Source organism: Homo sapiens, chromosome 6 (assembly GCF_000001405.40).
Source record: "Homo sapiens chromosome 6, GRCh38.p14 Primary Assembly".
Taxonomy (NCBI): Eukaryota; Metazoa; Chordata; class Mammalia; order Primates; family Hominidae; genus Homo; species Homo sapiens.
Genome location: NC_000006.12, coordinates 149,325,133 through 149,351,973, shown reverse-complemented (window position 1 = coordinate 149,351,973; position 26,841 = coordinate 149,325,133). Strand labels below are relative to the sequence as shown.

The 26,841-nt window shown below is 36.4% G+C and overlaps 1 protein-coding gene across 10 annotated transcripts in view, besides 1 other annotated feature; it reads right to left on the bottom strand.

The window, feature by feature from the left end:
* The window catches only part of TAB2 (TGF-beta activated kinase 1 (MAP3K7) binding protein 2), a 193,682-nt gene that overhangs the window by 59,634 nt on the left and 107,207 nt on the right, over positions 1 to 26,841 (bottom strand). For 4 of the 10 annotated variants that reach the window (NM_001369506.1, XM_011535633.3, XM_047418487.1 and 1 more), the window contains one exon: positions 9,141 to 9,289. The exons of 4 other annotated variants lie outside the window; for them this stretch is intronic. The gene's annotated coding sequence lies outside the window, so the exon portion shown is untranslated. Of the gene's footprint in view, positions 1 to 4,716; positions 4,804 to 9,140; positions 9,290 to 16,322; positions 16,416 to 26,841 lie in introns of those variants that run through there. 2 more of the 10 variants (NM_015093.6, XM_017010592.3) reach the window with 2 other exon arrangements.
* Positions 15,112 to 15,261: an enhancer, noted in NCBI's record as "active region_25254". NCBI's record gives its function as "activates an Ori minimal core promoter by ATAC-STARR-seq in GM12878 lymphoblastoid cells {active_cell/tissue: GM12878}" and the evidence as "EXISTENCE:reporter gene assay evidence [ECO:0000049][PMID:35858748]".

The following is a 26,841-nucleotide window of genomic DNA, read 5'->3' as shown; positions in this document are numbered from 1 at the left end:
AGTAGAACTAAAAGAACCAGTATTCTACCTTAGCCATGCACGCTTCTAAAATTTTCTGGTGAAAGAACATGTTAATAGTTTAAAACAGAGATAACCTAATGTTGCTAAATATTTCAACCTCAGTTCCATAAGTGCACACTGTCTTATCTAACTAGATGAGACAATTATGATATAAGGTATATAAAACAGTATTTGATACACAGTGATAGCTGGCTAAGTATAAATTCTAGGATTCCATGGGTTCGTTTATGAAGTTTAATATGCTATTTACTTGCAGTAACTTCTTGGGCAAATCATTTAATTTTTCTGTGCCTCAGTTTCCTCATCTATAAAATGGTGATGATAGAGTAGCTACTTCATAGGAGTGTTAGGAGAATTAAATGAGTAATCCAAGTAAGATAATAAAAAGAGCACATAGTAAGTACACATGTAAATAAAATATCAATACTATCATTTCATTCTTCGTAAAATGGAGAAAACAACTCAAAGAGCTTCAAGGATTAGTGACAACATAATTAAAGCCAATTGCATTATATCTGTCCTGCCTACAGCAAAAAGTACAAACTGGTAGTAGTAGTAATTATTTATTTTAAATATCATGAACTTCCACGAAGTGCAAAGGAACAAAACCTTACAGGGCTGCATATTACCCTGGTTGCAGAATATTGTAGGAGTGGATTGAGCCTTTAAGGCCTTCTTTTTCAATGCATACGGGACAAAAAACTTGCAGTTGGGGAAATCTGACAAAGCTACATGACAAACTCAACAGTACTAGGTTGTGCAAAGTGCTAGAAAAGTGGCATAAACTGTGTTATAATAGGTGTTTAAAGGGATCTCTCTGGGCTGAGGAGGAAGTGGGAAAGTATTGAAGCATAGGAACTTAAAGTATAAAAGAAGTAAGGCAGATTCTGGGGATCGTGTCACCTGTCTTGCAGGAGGAAGAAAGGAGGGACAAAGAGGAAAGAAGGGGATTATGAAGAAGGTACTCAGGATGGGGGTAGTTACAGGAGAAGCTGAGAAGATGAATGAAGGTTTCAAGGTATAGTGGTCTTTATCTGAGAAGACCTTGAGATACGCTAATGCTAATAAGGTTTTAATATATGTCAAACTATATATATACATCATTTTATCTTTGCACCGTTCTTACATAATTATGAGTTTTGCTGGAACAAATTTAATTATGTTAACAAAGTAAGCTGGGCATGGTGGCACATGCCTGTAGTCCCAGCTACTCAGGAGGCTAAAGAAGGAGGATCCATTGAGCCCAGGAGTTCAAGGATGTAGTGAGCTATGATTGTGCCACTGCACTCCAGCCTGGGTGACTGAGCTCTTAAAAAAAAAAAAAAAAAAAAAAAAGACATAAAATATGGTTCATGCCGAATATCAAACAGTAGTAGGAAGAAATACATAACGTTCACTTCTCAACCGCCCTAGGATTCTTCCTTAGCTTGTGTACAAGAATGTAAGAGAAGATTTTTCCATTTCAACATACGCTAAAAGCAAATTCCAGTTTCCAAAGTAGCCATTAGCGGTAATAATTTTTTCTGTAAATCATAAAATCCTGAATTGGACAGAATTCTAGGAAGTTATCTCATAAAAGTATAATTTAAGAGATCTGAAAAATGCCTTGTTGCCCAGTCGTCTCCTTGTTAGACTTCCTCTTCTCCCAGTCAATCCTATTTACCTCTTAAAAACAAGCCCTGGTCACAAAGAAAATTCTTCACGTGAGAAATATTAATTCCAGCCGGGCGCAGTGGCTTACGTCTGTAATCCTAGCACTTTGGGAGGCTGAGGTGGGTGGGTCACCTGAGGTCACGGGTTTGAGACCAGCCTAGCCAACATGGTGAAACCCTGTCTCTACTAAAAATACAAAAATTAGCCAGGCGTGGTGGCAGGCGCCTGTAATCCCAGCTACTCGGGAGGCTGAGGCAAAAGAATCGCTTGAACCCAGGAGGCAGAGGTTGCAGTGAGCTGAGATTGCGCCACTGCACTCTTGCCTCGGCGACAGAGTGAGACTCCATCTCTGAATGAATGAATGAATGAATGCATGCATGTATGTTAGTTCCCAAGCAGAGAGACTATTTTTCACTGGTGTATCCTAACTACTTAGTGTATGTCAAGTGGATGCTCAGTAAATATTTGTTGCCATAACTCTCTAAATAAACATCAGAATACATACAGCTTTTAAAGACTACTCTAAAAAGTGGTTATCTATCTCCCCAAACTCAAGCGTTTCCCTTAACCTCAGATATGTCAGTGCTGCTATATCTGTTTTGAAAATGTAAATATGTTCCATCACAATTGATATGAGAGAACAATTTGAACATTAAGTCAATTTTGCTGTAATTTCATTTGTAAGAAACACTAGGTGAACACAGAAAGCTGTATTGAGCTAAAACAAGCAGCATATGAATATACAAAAAGTAAACAGGAACACACCTGAAACACTTACCAGCTATCTCAGCTTAACAGATCTGCATGTCATTAATCACACCCAGTCACATTACTGATTTCAAAAAACTCTTTCTTGACTACCTTTTTTTTTTTTTTTTTTGAGACGGAGTGTCACTCTGTTGCCCAGGCTGGAGTGCAGTGGAGTGATCTCGGCTCATTGCAACCTCCGCCTCCTGGGTTCAAGCAATTCTCCTGCCTCAGCCTCCCAAGTAGCTAGGATTACAGGCGCGTGCCACCGTGCCTGGCTAAGTTTTTGTATTTTTAGTAGAGACGGGGTTTCACTGTGTTAGCCAGGATCATCTCAATCTCCTGGCCTTGTGATCAACCCGCCTCAGTCTCCCAAAGCACTGGGGTTACAGGCGTGAGACATGGCGCCCAGCCTTGACTACTTTACAATAACTCACAAGCTGCAATTCTTCCTGTGCTCCCTTCCATAAGCAAACTTTAGGTCTCATTGAGGAAAAAGTACAATATTCATTGTAGTATTTACATATTTCTTAATTTATTTAACATGAATAAAATTATCTTTAAGATTTTTTTTTTAAATTTTTTGAGATGGAGTTTTGCTCTTGTTGCCCAGGCTGGAGTTCAACGGTGCGATCTCGGCTCACTGCAACCTCCGCCTCCCGGATTGAAGCAATTCTCCTGCCTTAGCCTCCTGACTAAGCTGGGATTACAGGTGCCTGCCACCACCCCCGGCTAATTTTTTTGTATTTTTAGTAGAGACGGGGTTTCATCATGTTGGCTAGGCTGGTCTCGAACTCCTGACCTCAGGTGATCTACCTGCCTCGTCCTTCCAAAGTGCTGGTATTACAAGCATGAGCCACTGCGCCCGGCCTTATCTTTTTTTTTAATGTTCACAGGTGATGTTTCCAAGTGTTACAGCCATAATTCCTTTTTTTTTTCCCATAAGCCCTGTGTGTTTTTTTGTGTGACTTTGCATAGCATGGTGATATTTAGGAACATGCCTCTGGCTCAACCACTGACTATTAACATTAACCTCTCCAGGATGCCAAATAGGACGGCAGAACGTTTCGACCTATCTATTTAGTTGTCAATATGATGCTAACAGTTTTTTTTTTTCTTTCTTTCTTTCCTTCTTTCTCCTACTCTTTCCTTCTCTCTCTTTCTGAGACAGGGTCTTGTTCTGTCACCCAGGTTGGAGTGCAATGGCACAATCATGGCTCATTGCAGCCTCAATCTCCTGGGCTCAAAGGATCTTCCCTCCCCAGCTTCCTTAGTAGCAGGGACTACCGGTGCGCAACCCCACAACTGGCTAATTATTGTATTTTTTTGGTAGGCTCTCCCTATATTGCCAAGGTTGGTCTTGAACTCCTGGACTCAAGTGATCCTCCCACCTTGGCCTCCCAAAGTGCTGGGATAACAGGTGTGAGCCACTGTGCCTGGCCCACATTCTTATTACTAATTACAATTTCTCTCTTCTGTGAATTGGCTGGCATTATCACACTGCCATGAATTACTCTTAAACAGTACCTTTACCACAGAAAGAAGTGTTGATAATGCAGTCAGAATAGCTGGATGATGCTATAATTTTTTAAATTAAAGCAAATTTTAAAACCTTTTGACCTCAATGAACATTTCAAAATTAAACATAAAATAAGAATCATATTACCTAAGTACATACACTATTTAAATACCTTTTACATTATTGACATATTATACAAGTATCATATCATATACCAGTTAGCTAATACTTGGTGCACTTCAGATTTAATTAACTTTAAAAGAATTTATAAATGTTAATTTAACATAAAGTTTTAAAATTTACTTTTTATAGTAAATTATTGGAATTATATTTCTTGGAGCATGATGTTACAATTCTATCAAGGCAAAGCAAACTTTACTTAAACTCCATTTAAGATAAAAATGAGGTAACTATAATCAATCTTTACCATAAACTTTATCACAAAACATTTATAATACTAAATCATTTCACACAGATAATCAGTTATCTGCAAAAATAATGTAATCCAAATGCTACTTATTTTAAGTTAGCTATTATGTTCAGATTTAGAGTGATTTAAAATTTAAAGGGAGCAAATGATTATGTTACTAAAAACTAGATTTCTTAATTTTATAAGCCTACAATAATTTACTTTCTAAAGAATAACAATAAACATTAATAAAGTAGCATAATAATCCACACTACTTCCTCTTAAAGAGAAAATTTCCCATTTTGTCATTTAATGCACTGCCTCAAGGCCATGAATGCTGACAATTTCTGATGGTTAACAGGCTTACCAGTTATAAGTTCTTCTAAAAGGAATGTGCAAGTCGGCCACACTTGGCAATTTATGTACTGTGGTTTTGTGGTAGGTACTACATTTTCTAAGGATCAAGAAAAGTGCAATAAATCTAAGACGGAATGGTTATACTTCATCAAAACATATTATATAACTACCTTTTGTGCATTTTATAATTCATACCTCATTATTATTTTGCAATACATTATTGTTCACTGCCCTCTTTCACTCTAATTTTTGGATAATCTATCCTGTGCATAAATATCATCTATAAAAGAAAACAGGAGCTAAGTATGATAATAAGTTCCTATTTATGGGTAAAAGGGAAAGAGGAGAAAAGAGAATAAAAGCACTTGAAGGAACCAATTTTCATCTTACACCAACCATAAACATTTATAACAAACCAATTCACTGAATGATGTGTAGAAATTTTAATAAGTTGGTTAAATATTAATTTAAAATGGCACCTTAATATTCAGAGAAAGTTATAAGAAGTATCACCAGCTGGGCACGGTGGCTTATGCCTGTAATCCCAGCACTTTGGGAGGTCGAGGTGGGCGAATCACCTGAGGTCAGGAGTTCAAGACCAGCCTGACCAATATGGTGAAGCCCCATCTCTACTAAAAATACAAAAATTAGCTGGGCGTGGTGGCAGGCACCTGTAATCCCAGCTATTTGGGAGGGTGAGGCAGGAGAATTGCTTGAACTCGGGAGGCGGAGGTTGCAGTAAGCCGAGATCACACCATTGCACTCCAGCCTGGGCAACAAGAGCGAAACTCTGTCTCAAAAAAAAAAAAAAAAAAAAAAGTTTCACCAACTGATCTGATCCCCATGCAGTTTCAATGCCTTACTTGGTCCCATGATTCTTCCTGTTCATCTCATATAACTCTGCTCATTTTCTTTCTAATGTCATAGCCCTCAGCTGACTTTTTCCCATAGTGGACTCCTGGCCAGCTGCTAAGGGAGAGGGGTGTGTGTGTGTGCATGCGTGCATGCGTGGGCGTGTGCACAATAGCACTAGGAGTATGATAAGTTCACAAGTTAGACAAAGTGTACATGGATATTTGCTACTACTAATAAAGTATCAGAGTTCTAGCTTTCTATCCATCTATCCATCCACCCATCCACCCCTTCCTCCCTCTCTTCATCTATCCAGCTATATGAATTAAAGCATCTAATCTAGAAAAAACACACGTGTTTAAAGTGGTGTAAACAAGAATGGTCATCCCAGTGTGTGCTTCTAAAAACAACCTCAATGGCCATCTAGGAGGAATAAATAAATACATTATTGCATAGCCACACTAAGGAACACCATGCAGCTTTTTGTTGTTGTTGTTTAGTGGAATATGATGTCCAAATAATTATATGGACAAATATATCCAAATAATTATATGGACCTATAAGACCTTATTGACTGAAAAAAAATCAAGATGCAGATTCCATGTATAACACCTTTTGTGTAAAAATAAAGACACACAAAAGATGCATTATATTAAAAAGCTTTTAAAAAATGTTTTGTCCTTTCCTATGATGCTGAAAATAGATGTATTTTAAACAGATATTTTTATATGATTGTATAGGAAAGATTCTGAAAGTATACACACACTAATTATTCTGGAGAGGGGGCTGAGTAGAAGGACACATGGATGGAAGGTATTCCAAGGAGGTTTAGTCATCTGTCCCAATTTTTATAATAACACATATTCATGCATTACTATAAAGTTATTCCTTATATATTTCTCTATAATATTACTTGTATTCTGATATGTAGATAGAGTAAGAATAGAACAGAATGAGTTATTTGAAGGTACCTGTATTAGCCAACCACAGGTACCTTCAAATAACTCAAAGCCTGTGTTGTCTATGCTGAAACTGTTATGGATGTGCAGTTTACAGCTGCAGCACTGACCAATTATCAGGATGCTTGATAGATGAGATTTACAGTTACTTTCTAACTTAAATGTTACTTATGAATTTATATATGTAGGTCCATCCATGATTAACCATGTCTAAGCTTAGTGTCATAATTTGTAATCCTTGGTTAAAACAAAGAAGCCAGGTGACTTTTTTTTTTACCTAAAGGCTAACTCAAGGTGAACTATTTATTATGCAAGCACTCAAACTGACTAAGTATTACACATCTACCAATGAGATGGTTTAATTAATTAAAGGAAAGAGGTAAGGGGTGGTAGAAAAAGAAGTAGGCTTATTGTTACTATTAAATATAAGAGTCTCCCAATAAACACAATACCTTTATGGAAAGTTATTGTACTATCATATACAAAGGTGGACAAGACACGCTGTTTTCTCTGAGCCTAGAGTATAATCACTTTGGTTCTACACTTACTATGAGCCAAGTCCTGTGCTAAATGCCTTAAACATGTATTATTTCAGTTACTTTTTACAATATTCCAGTAGTGAGGATTAAGTGAGAAACTGCAGGTAAAACTCTTTGCACAATGCCTGACAGAGTAAATGTCCCTTATTAGGCATTACTACTGCCTAACCTCTAACTTCATCAATTCAACCCTCACTCTACGGTAGTCAGCTTTTCAAAAGATTCACTGACTTAACACATACCAGTTCTGAGAAATCTTCAACGGATTCCCATTGCCTATTAAAGTCCAAACTCCTTCATCTGACATTCAAAAAAACATGACATAGCTCCATCTCCCATCACACCCCTCCCTATCCAACTATTCTCTATGCACACTGGACTGCTCACAATTTCTATAATATATTAAATACTTTCATCTCCATAACTTAGAAATACTCTTGCTGCTTTCTCTAAAGAATTCTATTTATCCTTCATGGTTCAGCAGAAACATTACCTTCTCCACAAAGCTGATTCTCTCCAGTACTCTTAAGTATGTTGTATGCATCTCTATTACGATACTTTCATATTACTTGTCTGTAAGCTCACTAAAACAAGGTTTATTGATTTCTACATCCCAGCTGTGTCTATTTACATTGAATAATGGAGAAAAATTTCACCATTAATAGCACCACTGAAAATAACTAAGACTTGATATTCATATGTAATTCCTTCTTCAATTTCTACTTCAATTCACCTAACAGTGGTAATGACCCTAACTAGTAGCTCCCTTTCCAGCTCTAATTCAACACTCAGTGACACATAATTCTTTAAACACCAAACAAATAATGTGGCACATAATCAGTGACCTAATGCTGACTAAATTGCCAGACATTAAATTCATTATGCATTAATACTGCAGGAAGGGATGTAAGGAAGGAGTTAAGCACATGCTAGAATATTAGGATTGCCTTTTAAATTCACAATTGGGATACAAAATTCCTCTTCAGTTTTCGGTAATCTCTAACCTAGATAAACTGAACTAAAATCAAAAGACATGTATGATTATCTACCCATTTAGTAAATAAACTCATCTTTCAGGGATTAATTCTGTTTCTACATCTATATATATTGGTAAAAGGAATAAATATCCTTAAAAGCTAATTGATCTTGGCCCTCTAACCATTCATGAGTAGCTTTCTCTTGGTTAAAATCTAAGGCATTAGGAAACCTCAGTTTTTGGTTTTGTTGTTACACTCCAGGATGACTCTGACTATTTGTAACTTCCTTGGCTGGTTTCTTTTGGGTAATCAAGTAAAATATTAGCAAATATTAGTTATACACTTAGTTTAAAAATATAACTAAATTCTTCAGGTAAAGTACTATATAATACATTGCTCGGTTCTATCCAGAAATAATATGTCTAATTTCCAATTACTGAAGAATATATTAACCTTTTTTTTTTTTTTTGAGACGGAGTCTCACTCTGTTGCTCAGGCTGGAGTGCAGTGGTGCAATCTCAGTTCACTGCAACCTCCGACTCCCTCAGTTCAAGTGATTCTCGTGCTTCAGGCTCCCAAGCAGCTGGGACTACAGGTGCACGCCACCAAGCCTGCCTAATTTTTTTGCATTTTTAGTGGAGGCGGGGTTTCGCCATGTATGAATATATCAACTTTTTAGGTAAAGGCATTAGTAGGGTAGAATAGTTGAGGATCTCAGGAAGAGGGAAGTAGTTTCATTAACTGAATTCCCTATACTGCTTGTACTCAATGTAAACCTTTTAAAGAAAGGCAGTTTTGTTGTTGTTGATGTTTGTTTTTCAATTTTTTTTGGTATGTTTATACGGCTTCACTCAATAGCATTTCACATTTATTTTTCTTATGTTTTTGCATTAGTTTGCTACTACTAGCAAACAAGTTAAATTAGAAATATTCAGGCAAAAGGTATGTTAAACTCAATACTAGCTGCATGTTACCTAGATGTTAGTGTTACTATACTTTAAAGCAAGATGACTATAAGTTTTGAAAGTCAAGTTTTAGTTACTATAGATTTAATAATAAGGCAGTTACACAGGCTAAGCTTGACTGGTGCCATGGACTTTAGCATACCTGGAAATAGAAAAATTCAAATTGTAGCTGTTCTTGGTTGGCCCATTGCCATTTTTGCAGCTTACAAATTGTTAATTAAGTAACTGCAGTGAGCTCATCTCTACGGGATACTTCTTTTCCAGGGCAGGTCCAGGAACTGGGTCTGGAGCCTTGAAAGCAGAAGAGAAACTAGAGTAAACTAGAGGTAGGCAGAACAAGAAATGTGACCAGATAACATTATGAGATGTAATAGCAGTAAGGTAGTCCCCAAAGTCTCTCACATAAAATATTCTGAAGGGAAAATGGGTCTCTTAAATTGCAAGTAACCAAAGGATGCTGTTTACTTTGGTTAAGCCATTCTTTTAACCTACCCAACACTATTCTGGAATCTCAGTTCCAGCAACTCAAAACAGTAGTTTTTATGAAATCTCTAATGGCTTTTAGCAACAGACTGTCCAACAGGAGACCACAGAGTAACTCTAACAGAAAGAGAAAAACAACAACAAAATCCAAAATTGGAAATGTAAAGTCCTCATTTTCAGGTCATTTTTCTCTTCCCTTTCACTATCGTATTTCCAATCATCTTCTAAACGCTCCCCTAATTTCCTATGATCCATTCCCAGGGGTTTCTTAAGAAATGCTTTAGATATATCCAAGCAATGAATTGAATGTTAAGTTCCAATTTTTAAAAATACTTGGTAATTCTTAAAGAGGGAGGCAAAGAACAGCTCATAAGATGTGGTTCTTAACCACACTGGAAAATCTTTTTTTCCATTACCAAAATAGATTCAATGATTTTTTTTTTTTTAATTTTTGTTAGGGCCATATAAAACAAAAACCAAAAACAAACTTGCAACTACGAAGGTTACAGAAATAATAGGATATTATGAATAGTAGAATGTTGTACTATTTTGATTATTAAAACCTGGAAATGATGTCCTTATGCTTGGTAGGCTGGTACCCTTAGGCATTTCCCTAAGAAACTAATCCCACAGGAGTCAAAATAAATAGAATTTTCTGCTGCTCTCAAATTATCATAGATGTTGTGAAAACTGTAATAGGACAAAAAAAAGTAGTGAAGACGAAGATCCAAAAACTGAATTCCCTGCATTTCCAGTAACTAGCAATATAAACAGCAAAACAGAGTAAAAGTAGTTTTTGTGAAAAATGTAAATTTTCCATCTATTGTGATGGCACATTGCAGGACAAGGAATTCTGTGAGAGAGAAGTCTAAGTTCAGATCTGATTTCAGTATGGCTTTGAAATTAAACTGCAGAAATCTCTTTTATTAAATGGAATATCACTACCCACCCTGCTGTACTGTCCATGAGATTTAGCTAAAGTGTATGTAAAGCACTTAACAGTGTGGCACATATAGGCATTCAATATATTTTTCTGCATTATTAAAGAATGTAACACATTTTCTTGTTCTAAACATGTGGGTATACTTAAGTTTTCATTTTCACAAATGCTAAAGCAACAACTAGGTAGCAGGCTTTCGGTTTAAATAATTCAACTATAATCACATTCTAAGACATGTAACTGATTATCTTCCAGAATAGCCACAAATTGAGTATATGAGAGAGGTCAATTTTGAGAGCTGATGATAAATAAAAATATAACAATTTATATTTAGGATATAAAAAGAATTAGTAGTAAACAAGAAGACATGTAATTCTCTTTCCAAGTAAAGTATAAAATACTTCTGTCAACACATCTCTTGTTAAAAAGTTATATATAGATCCGGTATAATCCTTTTTAAAAAAACATAAAAGCAATCAATGCATGATATAATTTGGTCCTTAAGTTAGGAAATGTTTTAAGGGCAAAGAAAAGCCTTATATATGGGCAATAATTTTCCTCTTACTGATAGAACAGTGGGTTCCACACAAAATTATTATTTACCAAATATGGCTCAAAGATCAGATTACACCCTCTCTAAAATTACCAAGTAATAGAGCAAGTATCACAAGCCACAAGGAATTTTAAAAAATGATTTCCTTATAGTTGTTTTAAGTGTATTCTCTGCCACAACTTCATTTTAAAAGTTTTAAAAAGTTAACATGGAAGTGTCTTATTCAAAATATACTAAAACTTAGATGATAAGACTGAATTACTGCATTCCTCAGAAAGAAGGGGAAAGGGTATTTAAGTTTGAGGATTTCCATTCAGTAACTCATATGAATAGGCTTTCAGTTTAAAGACCATCAAATAAAAAAACCACTTCAGATAAACCACTTTTTTAAATTTTTTAACTAGTCATCATACTGAAATCTCATTACTTATAGTAATATTTCAGTTGATTCTCTTGGCTTTTCCAGGTATACAACGTTATTTACAAATTATAATGAACTTGCTTTTACTCTTTTAAAAAAACATATTAAGTAATATTTACTCATCGAAACTCCAATAAGCAGCAGAGTTAAAACCAGAAATGTATCTGTAGCTGTCTAACCTCATGTCCAAGGTTCCTTCTTTATTGTACTAGCTTGACGTTACTAATAATTTTCTTTCTGAAAACTTCTTTTCCGGTCAACACTCTGCATTCTAGTTTCTTAGAATTCTTATTTCTATGCCTCTTATTAATGTTAGCCAAAAGGATGTAGGTGTAAAGTTATAACATTCATTCTCTCACTTGTTCCTCTGGCATCTTATTTACACTCACAGCATAATCTAAGGAGAATCTCCTTTAAATTGTAGTTTAAGCTTTTTATTCTACTTGATGAAACTTAAAAGATTCCGAATCATAGATTTGATGTTGAAAGGAGCCTTATAGATTATCTAGTCCAACACCCTTATTTAATAGAAGAAAAACATAAAGTTCAAATAATATGTCAGTAGAATCTGAATAAAAGTTTAACACAAAAAATTAGCATTATTACTTATGAATCGTAAAGTAAATGCCTACATTTATATACAGTAAATATGAACAGAGCAATTAAACAAATTTCAAGAGTAATTATTGAGGCCGGGCATGGTGGCTCAGCACTTTGGGAGGCTGAGGCGGGTGGATCACCTGAGTGAGGTCAGGAGTTTGAGACCAGCTTGGCCAACATGGTAAAACCCCGTCTCTACTAAAAGTACAAAAATTAGCTGGGTGTGGTGGTGCACACCTGTAGTCCCAGCTACTAGGGAGGCTGAGGTAGGAGAATCGCTTGAACCTGGGAGGTGGAGGTTGCAGTGGGCTGCAATCGCACCACTGCACTCTGGCCTGGGCAACAGAGACTCCGTCTCAAAAAAAAAAAAAAATAAATAAATAAATAAATAAAAAAGATTAATTATTGGGCCGTGCTTCTTTCCTGTTAAAAAACACTTATCCCTATTTCTAAGAGAGTTTACTTATATGACAGTGTCAATGTATGAGTCCATTTATTAAAGTGGATTTAAAAATTACAGAATGGCAGACAAAAAAGTTAAAACCTACTTAATCCTACATATTTATGCATTAATTATATCTTAGATTTTTTTTCTTTTTTTCATTTTTTTTGAAACGGAGTCTCACTCTGTCACTCAGCTGGAGTGCAGTGGTGTGATCTTGGCTCACTGCAACCTCCGCTTCTGCAACCCCACTTCAAGCGATTCTCCTGCCTCAGCCTCCCAAGTAGCTGGGACTACAGGCGCGTGCCACCACACCCAGCTAAGTTTTGTATTTTTAGTAGAGCCAAGTTTCACCATGTTGGCCAGGATGGTCTTGATCTCCTTATCTCATGATCCGCCCGTCTCGGCCTCCCAAAGGGCTGGGATTACAGGCGTGAGCCACTGTGCCCGGTCATATCCTAGATTTTCTAACAAAATTACGCTATCTGTGCTTCCCACGTGAGTTGATGTCCTGACCCAGTCCAAAAGACAGAAACAGCACGGACTGCTTGCTACAGCACTTAGAACAGTGCCTGGCACATGGCAGCTCCCATTGCTGCTGAACAATTACTACTCTAAATATATTCACGTTATAATAAATATAGCCATAGGAATGATTCAACCATACAGAAAAGAATCCTGCTACAAGGTGAATTATCTCACTCTACCCCTTTTATTCTGTTTTCCAGGTTTGGTTCCATGAGTAGGATCACAACCTTCACTTATTTAGGCACACCTTTCCAATCGATAATTTCTGTTATCAATTCAGAAACACTAAGATCTCAATCAACATCAGTCTGTTAGGCTCCTTGTAGGTTGCTGTTAAGCTCCTTCTAGGTTTCATTTTAAAAGGAAATTTTACACTCCAACAACTTCCAAGCTTTCATGTGAAGCAAAAATATGTTGTTTCATCTTAATTGTACTTATGTTTAAACTTAAACTCTTCCAATACTAGTTTCCCTCCTCAACTTTCCATTTTTGTCAGAAATAGCAATTTCTTTTCAGCCTGCAAAGTGAAGTTACCTTAACTCTTCTCTCTTCTCTTTCTTTACCTTTACCCAACTCCTTGAAATCGCATCCATTTTGTAATTAACATTCCTTAAAATACAACTTCTAAGACTCTCCTCAATGGTTATTACAGTCAATACAGTCCACAATTACTTCCATAGTTCTGAAATAAAATGTCAGGACAAGATTTTTCCACGAAGCTTCATATGGAAACTCATTTGGTGGTGGCAAAAATCTGAGTTGAACCGATGTAAGGTTATTTACAGGCTTGATTTAGCCCACTTACTGTGAATATTTTCACCTTCACTGCAGAGATACTAGTGTCTAGTTACAGGATGATACCTCAGACCTTGCTGGGAGAGTTATGTAATATACAATATACACGTTACCTTTCCCAAATCCAAAAATGTTTGAATCCCAAAACACAGCTGGCCTCAGGGTTTCAGATAAAGCATTGTGGACCTGTATAATATTATTCTAGGAATCCTAATTTAGGCACCCTATACTTAACTTTCTTCCTGATACTCTCTCTTACCTGACTCCATGCATCTCAGCTCCCATACCACCAAGTTCTATTATTTTTTCTTTCCAATATCTCCTGCAATTTTACTCTATCTCTAACTGCTTACCACCCTATCCCTATCATCAAACATATAAATGACCAGACCCACTGCTTAGCTCCCTGCCAGTCTTCCCACCCTCTGTGTAAGTATAGTATAAGAGATTAAGAAAGTTTCCTATATAACCACTTTAAATATTTCACTCAATTGCAGAGGAATTTAATAAACTGAAACAGATAAATAATAAAAGAGGAAGGATAGTGACTGTGGTGTTACAAGATGAGTTTCTGTTATTTTTTTAAACAGTTTATCTACAATTGTGAGCTAAGAAGAGTTTGACCCTTTTTTCTAAACTGGTTGAAACTTTGAAATTTTCTATGTTAACACATCTATTCTGTAACTGAAACAAAACAAACAAATGAACAAAATTGGCAAGGCTCCTTTCCTGCTTATCACTTCAGCTAAAACCCCTCAGTGTGGTTTTTCAATGCCTTCTCCAGTTTGGTTCCACTAGATCGGGGGTCATGAATCCCTCTGGCAGTCTGGAGAAAGCTACAGAGTCCCCCTCAGAGTGGTTTTAAATGCATAAAATACAATATCTAGGATTATAAAGAAAGCCAGTTTTACTAAAATATAGTTGTTTTTGAAAATATGGTTTTAAATGCATAAAATATACATTACTAAGAAAACCAATTATACCGAAACAGTTATCAAGTGTTTTTAAAAACCTTGTATGTGATATATTCATACATATGCTTCTTTAGTAATAATACAATAAAATCTAGTGGGAGTCTAATAAAAACCATAATTCTGAAGTAGTAATATGCATAAATTATAGAGATATCAACAGCTGTAATCTGAAAATATCTGTGCTTTTTCTATTAGTAATAAAAGATATACGTACTGCTAATATTACTGTAGTCTGCCGCTTAAAATCTTATTAAAAGTAAATGCTAAATTTCAGTTCAAAGTTCATAAAAATATAAAGATGTCACTTTTTTTTTTTTATCTAAATGCATGCAGCCCTCTAAATTGTATCCCTGGATCCCTTCAGGGTCTTGCAGATTAAAACTACTCTATTAAATTCACCTGCTTCTATTTCCCAGCAGTCCCCACACCCTTAGGAATCTGGGCAGGCCTGTCTGAACATGTTCAACCCACACTTTCCTTTCTTTGCTTACTACACTACTGCCCTTGCTTAGAATGTTATGTCTTCACCTTGAGGCTTATCAAAATCTTAACTACCTCTTCAAAACCAATTCCAATTTCACCTTCTACTTGAATTCTTTTTATCCTGCTTCAGCCCACATGGATCTTTTCCTACAACTACTAATGTAGCTGTAGGTCAATGCTTTATGAATCAACATTTAATTATTCTCTTACAGTCTACTTCTGTGTCTCTTCATCTAAGTTATAAGATCCCCGGAGACATGTGCTATGTGCTTACACATAGAACACTGCATATACATAATATAGGCACATATAAAGTACTCAGCAAGTGCCCCCAATAAATCAAGCACAGAAGATCATCTGTTTGGCAACTTCGAGTACCAGAAAATACATCAAGATAAGCCAAAAGTTCCACTAAGGAGTTAAAACAGACATAAATTAGGCTTATAGTTCACCTCTATCAGAACCTAGATACTCCTATTTAATTAAGAACCCAGAAGCTTATTTACTAGGCAGCAATGAATTCCAAGTAATAAATCAAGGAAGGAGCACTAAAGTCAGCACAAGACAATGATTCATTCCAAACATATTGGTTAAGCACTACTACGTGCCAGGCACTGTTCTAGAATCTATGATTCAGTTCTCATATAGCAACTTAGTGCCAGGCCCTGGACTAGAACCCGGGGTTCCTGACTCATTCTGAAGCTCTGAAACAAAATGTTTATTTCTATCTTCCAGAAAAGGTTTAGTATGCAGGGTAAAAGTGGGGGAGGGGAGGAGGTGTTACTATTTCAGAAAGCAGCAAAGTATGTGAAACATTATAAAGAAATAGATTTGGAGGTATGAATATCTATATTTATCTACACACAATATACATAATATATTGTAAAATCTCTATAAAATCTCTAAAATAGATTCAGGAGTAAGTTTCAATCATTTTATGTACTTACTACCTAAGAATACTAGATGAATGAGGTGTTACTCTGCTTATTAATATTTTAATCACAAACACTTCATAAAATTGTATTTTTCTTCAAAGAGCCCTGCCAAGTTGCTTCATTTATTTGATGTAAAAATAAAAAACTAGGTCAGGTATAGTGGCTCATACCTGTAATCGCAGCACTTTGGGAGACCAAAGCAAGAGGATCACTTGAGCCAAGGAGTTTGAGACTAGCCTGTGCAATACAGCAAAACCCTGCCTCTACAAAAAGTTAGAAAAAAAGTATTAGCCAGGCATGGTGGCTGGTGTCTGTAGTCCCAGGTACTTGGGAGGCTAAGGTGGGAGGTTAAGGCTGAGCCCAGGAAGTTAAGGCTGCAGTGAGCTATGATTGTACCACTGCCCTCCAGCCTGGGTGACAGAGTAATACCCTGTCTCAAATATATGTATGTAAATATTATATATATGTTATATATACACACATATATTTTTTATATATATAATACATACATACATACATATCTATATATAAACTTTTCTACCAATTTCCTGGAGGTGAGGTGGGGTGGGGTGGTAGTAATGATGGTAGTAGATATTATTCTAAATAATCTTCACCTTTTTCCCTGGGGAAACGGACCAAAAGAGGATAATGAGAATGTGGGTAGGAAATGGGGAATTGGTCTCCACAAATTTCAAGCTCTACTGCTGACTGTGACTAAAAAAAATTACTTTTCCTAAAGGGAAGTTCTTAGACTAATAGCAATGGAATTCAGTGAGCGAGTGAGGGAAGGAGGGAGGCGGAAGGGAGGGGTGGGACTGGAACAAGTAAACTAATAGCCTGACAATACCATGCTGGCAACCTAAAGTCACCTTGTCCAAAACTCAACTCACTGCCTCCTACTCACTAATGTATTTCTCTGTTAATTATAAATGACATGCTTCTGAAGCTAGAAACCTCAGAGTTCTCAATTCTTTTCCTCTCCACATATAATCAATGGCAAAGTTTCACTGATTACTTTCACAAAAATTTCTCTTTTCCACCACAATGTCCTTGTTCAAGTATGTGTTATCTGGGCAATCACCTAACACCATGACCTCTTGTTTGACTGCTTGTTCTACTCTTAAGGTTTTCTTTTTTTTTTTTTTAAGAGACAAGGTCTTGCTCTATTTTCCAGGCTGGAGTGCTGTCATGTAATCATAGATATGCAGCCTCGAACTCCTGGGCTCAAGTGATCCTCTCAACTCAGCCTCTTGAGTAGGCAGGACTACAGGTGCACTTTACCTGCCGAGTTAGTTTTTTATTTTTATTAGAGATGGGGTCTTGCTATGTTGCCCAGGCTGGTCTCAAACTCCTGGCTTCAGCAATCCTCTTGCCTCAACCTCTCAAGACTCTAGTATTACAGGCCTTATGCCTGGCTAAGCCTTTCTAAACTGTATTTCACAGTGGTAACAAACTTGGCTAGCTTCCTAAAAACTGGCTGAATCGTGTCACTTTCCTCCCTAAGAAAGGCAAGAGATTTTGTAGAGATACGCTGTAGTGAGTTTCAGCAGAAGGTGCTGACACTGACACAGGGAATAATGAAAAAAAGGTAAGAGAGAGGAGACCTGAGGATGAAGAATTTAGAATAAGTCAGAAAAATCAGGCAGAGAAAATGTTGGGAAGAATGGTATCAAGAAAGCCAAGTGAAGAGTTATAACAAAAATGATTATAAAGTTTAAAGTTTATTATTTTTATAATTTTATAGCAATAAATTTTCTATTAATAGCTTACATTTACTAAGTGCTAGGCACTAGGTCAAATGACTTATAATGCATAAACTCATCTAATGCTCCCAATAATCATGTGAGGCAGGCACCTCTATACGAGACTCAGTTAACTACACAGTTTGTCCTACTAGACAAAGAATTATTTTATACAGCTCCCTTTCCTTATTCCCTGAGATGCTTAATGCAAAGCACTTAAACATTCTTACTATGTTGGTGTCAACAATACCAGAGAAAGACATTCTTTTTACAAACTTTACTAATTTGCCATGGACTAACACAATATATGTATCTGTACACACAGACACATAGACACACACACACACACACACACACACACACACACACACTATGGATCTGGAAATAAAAGAATATATGGTTTTAAAAATACCCAATCTCCTAATATTTAAATCTGCATTGGAATAGTAAGGGCTAAGGGTATTTTTGTCTTGTAAAGCTCAAAAGTGGAAAGGTATATAAAAATACTGAAGAGAAACTTGGCCTATACATCTACCATCTACCTGAAAATGGGCAGAAGGACTGCGTAGAAGACAGACAGATTAACATTCCTTTCTTTTAAAATGTGCACAAGAAATTTCCTAGGAGACATGCTATTATGGACTCAACTCTAAACCTAGCCTACTATTTGCAATGTGTACTCCATTCAACACAAGAAATCTGGGCCAAAGTTTAGACGAATTTGCAGAAATCCATTACCACTAGGGAAAAGAGAAAAAAGAGGCAAAATGTACGCCTCACTAATCTTGGGTTGGTGACGCTGCTATGTATGGGTGCAATCTCTAGGGCTAGAATGCTTGTTTGGAAGCATCAGAAAGACATTCAACCACAACCTGTACTCCAGAATCCCAAAAGCTCATTTACTTTCGAAAACAATCAAGTTTACTAGCTCTAAACTCTAGTAGTCTGTGTCCATTCATTCACAAATATTTACTGAGCGCTCAAGCGCCAAGGTATTGTACTCATGCTATAAAAACTGACATTTAGTGGGAGAAACTGAAAAGTAAACAGATAATTATAATACACATGGCAATCTTGCAATGGGGGTAAATAAAACGAAGTGCTAGAAAGATATAAATTATCAATAAGGAAATATTATTGGAGCTAATAATCAGTTACAACAGAAAAAACTTGTGGCATTTAAAAAATTTTCCAAATTACATGAATTTAAAGTACACATGATCACAGTGGGACTCAGGAGACATGTCTTTCTACAAATTCTCTGTGACTAAGACTGACCTGCTCCCTTTACTGATGTATTTCTGGCTCTAAGCCTCTCCTTGCCAGCTATTTTACATTCCTGTTTTTCATCTTTATTTTTCATTTATCTCTCTGGCTGTTTTTATCTGTAAGATAAATGTTGCCACAGAAAGTCATTCGGGCACTTAATAAGTGTCAAACCCTTTCCACAACATGTAGTTACTTCATTTTATAAAGATTTAGGGCAAAGCTCTAAAAATTAGTAAGACACTATTAGATGACCACTGTTAACAGCCATTTACCTATCAAATAAGTATGACTAAGTACATATTAAATATCCATCCCCAAATCACCTCCCAATTACAAAATTTCTGTTGCATTTCATGTCACATACACAGCAGAACTAATCCAAATTTTCACAAAGCTCTTTCACATGTTAGAAGAGTCTGGCTTTTTGCTAATAAATCTGAAATTACAGTAACTAGAAAGCAGTCACAGGTATAGTTTTAAACAAATACCACTATAACTTCTTTCACATCAACTCCACTGATACTCCCAAATTCATATTTCTAGTCTGAATCTCTTGCTTGAATTCCATTATACCGAATGAATTGCCCAGTTGATATCACTGGTTATATGTCTAAAAGGCATTTCAAAGTTAACACATCCAAAAAAAAGGCTCCTGATTGCTCAGTCTAAACTTGCTACTTTACCATGCTCCCAAACTGAGTCAATGGCAACTCCATACTTCCAATTGCTTGCGCCAAAAATCTCTTGTCATCCTTGAATTCTCTTTTATGCCTCAGATCCAATTCATCAGCAATTCCTTCCCACACAGAGTTTGAAACATATCCAAAATCTGATCTGTTCTCACCCTTTCCTATTACTGTCCTGGTCCCAGCCACCATCATCTAAGTATGACAATAATTTCTAATATATTTTCCCTGTTTAAATCTTTGCTCTATCTCCAAAGTCTACTCCACACACAGCAGAGTGAATATTTAAAAAGGTAAGTAACCACTAGCTACCAGCTTAAAGAATAAAAGCCATATGACCATATCAATTGATGTAGAAAAAAGCATTTGACAAAATTGAAGACCTACTCATGATAAAAACACTTAACAAACTACAAATAAAAAGGGAACTTCCTCAACTTGATAAACAGCATCTACAAAAAACCTACAGCTAACATATACTTACTGGTGAAAGACTGAATGCTTTTCCACTAAGATCAGAAACAAGCTTGTCAGCTCCCACCACTATTATGAAACAGCATTGCAAGTAGCAGAGGAAGAAAAGGAAATAAAAAGCATACAGATTGGGAAGAAAAAAATGTAAATAACTGTCTCTATGCACAGGCACATCAGAAAACCCAATGAATCTACAAAATAAACCTCCTAAAACTGATAATTTAGCAAAGTCTCAAAATATAAGATCCACTCACAGAAATCAACCAACCATACTGCCACATATTAGACATGAACAATTGGAAATCAGAATTAAAAACACAGTATCACTTACAATTGTTCTAAAAAATATATATCTAGGTATAAATCTAACAAAACATGCACGGGATTTTTATGCTAGAAACTAAAAAATGCTGACAAAAGAAATAAAAGAATTAAATAAAAGACATACCATATACCAGGTTCATGGATTGAAGACTCAACAAAATAAAAATGTCAATTTCCCCGAAACTGACATTTTACAGATTCTAAATTTTACATGGAAAGGAACTAGAATAGCTAAAGCAATTCTGAAAAAGGAGAATGAAGTTGGAGGAATTTCACTATCTAATTTTAAGACTTACTATATAGCAATAGTAATCAAACAGTGTGGTAGTGGTGGAGGGACAGGCACAAAGATCAATGGAACAGAACAGAGAATCCAGAAATAGATCCTCACAATTACGGCTATCTGATTTTTGACAAAGGTACAAAAGCAATTCAATAAAGGAAGGATAGTCTTTTTTGTTTGGGACCTAAGGTTAGCCAGTGTTCTCAGACTTGACAAGAAAGGCACAATCCATAAAAGAAAAAAATGCACAAAATGAACTTCATCAAAGCTAATTTTTTGCTCTGCAAAAGACCCTGTTAAGAGACTATAAAGACATGCCACATACTAGGAGAAAGTATTTGTAAATCACGTATTCAACAAAGGACTTGGATATAGAATTTGTAAAGAACTCTCTAAACTCAACAAGAAAACAAAACAATTCAATTAGAATATGAGCAAAAGACTTGAACACATTTCACCACAAAGGATATGTAGACAGCAAAGAAGTACATGAAAATATGTTCAACATCATTAGCCATTAAGGATATGCAAATTAATGGTCACTACATACTATTAGACTGGGTGAAATAAGAAATACTGACAATACTAATGCTGGAGAGGATGCAGAGAAACTGTAGGTTTCTCACATATTGCTGCTGGGAATGTAAAATTGTACAGCTACTCTGGAAAAGTCTGGCAGTTTCTTATTTAAACATACATTTATCACGCAACCCAACAACTGCACTCTTGGGAATTTATCCTACAGAGATGAAAACGTATTTTCACATAAAATCCTGTAAAACCTGTTCACAGCAGTTTTATTTTTACAACCCAAAGTTGGAAATTCCAAAGTCAAATTGTGGTATATCCATACAATGGTAAACTCTTTAGCATTAAAAAGGAATAAATATTGATAAATGCAACAATTTGGAAGGACCTCAAGGGGATTATACTGGGTGAAAAAAAAAAGAGCCCATCTCCAAAGGTAACATCACGTACGATTTATGTAACATTCTTGAAGTGACAATTATAGTGATAGAGAACAGAAGCAGGTAAGTGGTTGCCAGGAAGGAAAGGTGAAACTTAAGGGGTAAAACAAGGGAGTCTCTTTATGATGATGAAACAGTTTTTATAACCTAATTGTGAAGGTCACATGAATTTATACATATACATAATAATGTTACAGAACCACACACATACAAATGTCAATAAATAAACAATGTTCTAAGAAGTGAGGGGGAAAATACAAATTAGATTTTATCTTAAAGCCCTTTGGTGACTTCCTACCCCATCCTGAGTAAAATCTAAAGTCCTTATCACAGTCTAAACACCCTACATGAACAGCATACACAGTTGGATACCATCTACCCTACTTCCACCCCCCAACCCCGCCCCCCCCAGCTCCAATTATATTGGCCTTCCTGCTCTTAGAAGATGGCAAGGACATCCCACTTAAAGGCCACTGCATTTGCTACTGCCTCTATTTTCATTCATGTACCTGCTCAAATGTTATCTAATCAAGACAAGCATTCTCTATCTCCTCCATATCAAGTGAAGTCTTCCTCTTTCTCCCTCCATAGAACCTTAAAATCAACAAACAGAACTCAAATGTCTTCCTCACCTGTTGCAACCCTGGTCTGTTCTGTAATGGTGAACATCACCATCACAACTATGCACCCAGGGCATGTGTGATCTTCACTGCTTTATGTCACATTCAATTATTTCCTTCTCAAACACATTACCTATTCTTCTTAATTACCCCATTATCAGTGCCTTAATTTGGGTCCTAATCAACTCTCAAATAGATACTTATATGCCTGCCTCTTCCTCCCAAGTCTGGCTCTTTTCTAAGGTATTTTGTGCACTACAACAAGAGAATCTTTCTAGAATGTTAATTTAAGAACTTGTCTTCCATCCATTTGAAGGATGAAGTTAAATCTCCTTTATGGAGTATACAGGTATCTCGATGCTCTGTCTTTTTTCTAATTTTCCACCTCACTTCCAGCTAACCCACCACTGGTACCTAATGCACTGTAGAACTACACACAGTTACTGTGTACATGTGGACTTTCCTACCTCCATCTTTCATGCATGGTGTTTCTCTCTATCTAAAAAGACCTATCTGCAGCCTGTAACTCTCTTCCTTGCCTATCTGATATACACTCAGATTAAGTGTCACCTTTCCTAGGAAGATTTCCCTGTCATATCCTTTCATCCCTTACTGAATAGGAGATACTGCCTAATCCTTATCCATAGGAGACACTACCTCCTATGGATTCCTAAAGTATTTTATGTTTAACCCCGTCACAGCATTTGTCACAGTATATCACATGTGTTTGTATATATGTCTCTTAAGGACAAGAACTGTATCTTACATATCTGTCCACCCCTTTGACCTAGCAAAGTACAGGCACACAGCAGGAACTCAAAACTATTGGATAAGTAAGGTAGTTTGAATAATAAAGAATGTAGAGGCCGGGTGCGGTGGCTCGTGCCTGTAATCCCAGCACTTTGGTAGGTCAAGGCGGGCCAATCACAAGGTCAGGAGATTGAGACCATCCTGGCTAACACGGTGAAACCCTGTCTCTACTAAACACACAAAAAATTAGCCAGGCGTGGTGGCACGCACCAACAGTCCCAGCTACTTGGGAGGCTGAGGCAGGAGAATTGCTTGAACCTGGGAGGTGGAGGTTGCACTGAGCTGAGACTGCACCACTGCACTCCAGCCTGAGGGACAGAGCAGACTCCCTCTCAAACAAAACAAACAGAATGTAGAGATGAGACACAATAGAAGAATGAGTAAGGCAAGATTTCTTGGGTTAGCCAGCTATTCTGCACAAGCATGTCATAGAAGACATATGAAATACGCTCTATGGAGTTTCTGTTCTTTCGATCATGTGATATTCTATAAAAGTTGATATACTGATAGATAGCTTGGTTTGGTTAAGATGACCACTTCAATCTTCTACCTAATTACTTCAACTAGGTAATGAACTAACTTCAATTAGGTAATGAACTAATTACCTTCAACAAGAGCACTTACTTCTTGTTCCACTTGCAAAATTACAGCAATGGCTCTGTCATCCTTTAAATGTATGGCAATGTTCATGAGGGGAAAAATCTCATGAAGAGAATGAGTATGTCTCATGCAGGCCAAACAATTACCTTAGCTAGACAATCTCAAAGGGCATTCAACACGTGTCAATGCACTTTTATATGCAAAAAAGCAGAATCGCCATATGTGGAAGTGGGAATTTTCTTCTGAAATCCCCATTTCCATGTGCTTATTTTTCCATTTCCTATAAAATCATCCTAAGAGTTGGCAAGCAGTACTTTAGTCAAGTACAATTCAGGTACATGCTAATCATGGGGTAAACAGTAAGTCACTCTCAATGCAAATTATAAAATATCTGTATTTCTAGCAACTTTTATTTGACACGGATCCCTTGGATGGTTCCTTGAGCACATTTTCTCACAATTCTAGTAACTACTTAACTGTGACACCTACATACATCTGCAACATACAGCTGCTTAACTTCTGAACAGCAGACGCTCATGTTTATCAGGTCACTAATTGCCTTTTAAAAATTAACCAAGTTGCCAGGCTCAGTGGCATGCCATACGTAGTCCTAGCTACTTGGGAAGCTGAGGCAAGAGGATGGCTTGGGCCTAGAAATCGAGACCAGCCTAGGCAACATAACGAAACCCCCATTTCTAAACAAATAAATAATAAATCAATAAAATTAACCAGGCAACTATGACATAATTTGTGCTCAGTAATTAAATGGAACATTTAATCTGTCTTAAATTTTTAAAAAACGACCATCTTGCCTATATTTTATAATGATGACAACCCTAATAGAAACCTACAATCAGGAAATGCTAGTATAAAAGAAAAGTGTAAAAGACAAAATAGTCCATAGGATATCAAGAATGTGGAAGCAAATATCTGTATAATAGGCTTTGTACCACAGATCTGAATATTAATATTTAAAGGCCAGTTTCTCCCACTTAAATTTTTATGCAATTATTAGCTTTGCTGAACATAAGATAAACTCTTGCAAACTACAAAAAAGCAAAATTAATTTGCTGACCTAATTATTACTGATATTAAGTGACCTATCCAAAAGGATGTGAAAATGTTAGGTTTTCTAAATAATGGCATTTGATCAAAACAAAAATCAAATTTCTGTGCATAATACTTCACTCTACATGTTGACTTTTCCAACAGCAAAAGCTAAAAACCGCTTAAAAAAGCAAGGCTGAGGATGGGTGGATCACCTGAGGTCAGGAGTTCGAGACCAGCCTGGCCAACATGGTGAAACCCTGTCTTTACTAAAAATACAAAAATTAGCCAGGCAGGGTGGTGGGCGCCTGTAATCCCAGCTACTCAGGACGCTGAGGCAGGAGAATTGCTTGAACCCAGGAGGCAAAGGTTGCAGTGAGCTGAGATTGCAACATTGCACTCTAGCCTGGACAAAAGAGCAAGACCCCGTCTCAAAAAAAAAAAAATAATAACAAAAACACAAGGCTGAAAAGACCAACATGTACCTTATAATTCTTTCTGCCATGATAACATGTCATTTATCCAATGATTAATGGTTCAATCTCCTATTTGTGCTTCTGGTTTTATTTTACAGATTGCATAAAAACTGCACACGTGTAAGATTAAAGCATATTTATTACCTCTAGGCTAAGAGATTTCATGTATATACACTACAGAATGTGCTAAGCCTATGAACTTAATAAAATGCAATGACTTTTTTAAACTGTCTTTTTTTTTTTTTTTTTTTGAGATGGGGTCTTGCTTTGTCACCCAGGCTAAAAATTTTTGTCTTAATCTACTGAGTAAACCAGTGTAACTGTTGTAGACTATTTTGCTGTAATAATTAGTATTGAATGCTATTTGTATAACCAATATTTTAACATAATAATACAATTTGTTTACTCTTCTTGGTACTATAGCAATACAGATAACTTATTAACAAAATATAAAACCATTGCTATAGCTGCTGTTAAAACAGGCTGGGTGTGGTAGCTCACACCTATAATCCCAACACTTAGGTGGGAGGCCAAGGCAAGATGATTCCTTGAACCTAGCTGCTCAAGACCAGCCTAAGCAAAATAGGAAGAACCCTTCTCTACAAAAAATAAAAAGTAAGCTGAGCGTTGTGGTACGCATCTGTAATCCCAGCTACTTGGAAGGCTGAGGTGGGAGGATCACTTGAGCCTGGGAGGTCAAGACTTCAGTGAGCTGTGGTTGTGCCACTGCATTCCAGCCTGGGCAACATAGCGAGACACTGTCTTAAAACATAAACATAACAGAAAAGTATAAAGATCATTTTACACAGATAAAGTGGCACAAGTTTTGTAGTATTATATTAAACCTCATATTTGAGGTGTTTTCAAAATCTTATCCATGCCAATTTTCTAATGCTTTTCCTAAAGAAGAACTATATTATAGATTTGTGGACTAATTTCAAATTGAAAATGCAGCTTTTCCCACAGGAACAGGCAAGAAAAATACAAAGAATTAACAATCCGTATGTTTATTTTGTAGTTAAAAAAATAATGATGATGTTTTGTTTGTTTCATCTTGGTCTAAGGAGTTACAGTAAATTAAAAAGTACAGAAATTCTTTTTTCATTCTATTTGTTGAGGAAAAATGAAGTGGACAGATACCTTGAAGAAAAAACCTAACGAAGCAAAATTCCAAATGTAAAATTACTTCCAATTACTTAAGCTACATATCCTAATGTAACTAGAACAAGAATTCACCTGTTCTATGTAAGGTAGGTATTACTATATCCATTTTTCTGAAGAAAACTCCTTGGCTCAGAGTGTGTGAATGATGTCTAAAATCACATAGCTATAGTCAGCAACAGAACTCAGGTTTGAACTTGGGCTCATCTGGTTTTAAAGCCCAGAACTT